At 55.3% G+C, this 1,977-nt stretch overlaps 1 annotated feature.

Annotated features, from left to right (window-relative positions):
• Positions 1-110: an enhancer, noted in NCBI's record as "active region_26121". NCBI's record gives its function as "activates an Ori minimal core promoter by ATAC-STARR-seq in GM12878 lymphoblastoid cells {active_cell/tissue: GM12878}" and the evidence as "EXISTENCE:reporter gene assay evidence [ECO:0000049][PMID:35858748]".

Here is a 1,977-nt window from a genome sequence, read left to right on the forward strand (position 1 = left end):
CTGTTCCTGAACAGGCTCGCCAAACTTGGGTTGGTTGGTTTTTTTCAAAACGCCTCCTACACAGGTCAAGAGACCGCCACACACACAGTGTGGACCTCAGTACCCTCCACACAAGGTACAGGAAAGTCACTTATCAGCCAGGCATGGTGGTTCACGCCTGTAATCCCAGAGCTTTGGGAGGCCAAGGCGGGAGGATCGCTTGAGCCCAGGAGTTTGAGACCAGCCTGGGCAATATAGGAAGACCTTGTCTCTATAAAAAAAAAAATTGTTTTAATTAGCCAGGGGTCGTGGCGTGTGCCTGTGGCCTGGGTACTCGGGAGGCTGAGACAGGAGGGTCACTTGAGCCCAGGTGGTTGAGGCTGCAGTGAGCTATGATTGTGCCACTGCACTCCAGCCTGGGCGACAGACCGAGACCCCGGCTCAAAAAAAAAATGGTCGTTTATCTCCACCTGCTGCCCAGCCCCTGAGCCAGACTCTGTCCTGCTGCCCCTCCTCCCCACAGCCCCATCCGACTTGAGGCCTTGGGCTTTGTGGCTTCAGGTACCCACTCCTCCTTTCCATCTCCCTGCCCTGCCCGGATGGGATGCTAACACTTCTCACCTAGATTGATTACTGCCAAACTGTCCCCACGGCCTCCCCTCTCCACCTGCCAGCCCTGCCTCCCGCCAGCTGGAAGTCCTTGAGTCGCCTCAGTAGCCTTTGAGACCAAGACCAAACTCTCTATTTAGCACAGAAGCCCACCTGCTACCCCCCACAACAGCTGCTCTCTGCCTTCCAGCCGCACTGAACCACTGCGGGTCCTGAATGTCCACAGCGGCCACCCCCACCCCGTGCCTTCCCGCCAGCGGCTCGATCCTCCTGGACTGCCTCTCCGCCTCTTTCCAAAACAGCAGAGGCCCCACAGTTCACAAGCCTCAGGGGGCAGGACCCAGGAGTCCAGGCACCATTGCCCCAGTAGCCATGGAAAAGGGGCCCCTCAGCACAGGAGTGAACTCTTTCCCAGTCCAAACAAAACTACAGGAACTCTCCTCTTTGCCTGGTATTAAAATATTCCTTTCTCATGTTTTCAAAGAAATACTTTCATTTCCTTATACAAAAACCACGCATAGAAGGTAGTTAAAAATACATGCATAGGCCCGGCACGGTGGCTCACACCTGTAATCCCAGCACTCTGGGAGGCCGAGGCAGGCAGATCGCCTGAGGTCAGAAGTTCGAGACAAGCTTGACCAATATGATGAAACCCCATCTCTACTAAAAATACAAAAATTAGCCAGCGTGGTGGCATGGGCCTGTAATCCTAGCTAGTCAGGAGGCTGAGACAGGAGAATCACTTGAACCCAGGAGGTGGAAGTTGCAGTGAGCCGAGATTGCGCCACTGCACTCCAGCCTGGGCAACAAGAGCAAAACTCTGACTCAAACACACACACACACACACACACACACACACACACACACACACACACACAAACCTGGACAGAAAAAAACAGCTGAAGCTCCACCTCCTCCTCCGGGCAGCCTTCTTTGACCACCATCCAGGTTGGTGGTGGCCCCTGGAGTGTGCCAGGTCACACTCCTGCCACGGGACCCCAGGCAGGCCTGCAGGCTGCCGTTCTGAAGACAGTCACCAACCCAGGGAAGTGCCGGGGGGCACATGGAGTGAACAAAGTCATGCTCTGTGGCTTTTCTCCACCGGGGGCAACGGGGCTCCCTCCTTTGATGCTGTTTGTGGCCCTCAGATCCGATGACACCCTCAGGTGCACCTGCGCATTGCCAGACACACAGAGGGGGTGTCGGGAGAGCCCCAGGGCCTCCAAAAGCAACCCGTTGGCTAGAAATGCAGGGAGGTTTTGAAACATAGTTGTGAATAATTGTCAGAAAAACCACAGTTGAGGCCAGGCACGATGGCTCGCGCCTGTAATCCCAGCACTTTGGGAGGCCAAAGCAGGTGGATCACTTGAGGTCAGGAGTTCAAAACCA

Source organism: Homo sapiens, chromosome 7 (genome assembly GCF_000001405.40).
Source record: "Homo sapiens chromosome 7, GRCh38.p14 Primary Assembly".
NCBI classification, from domain to species: domain Eukaryota; kingdom Metazoa; phylum Chordata; class Mammalia; order Primates; family Hominidae; genus Homo; species Homo sapiens.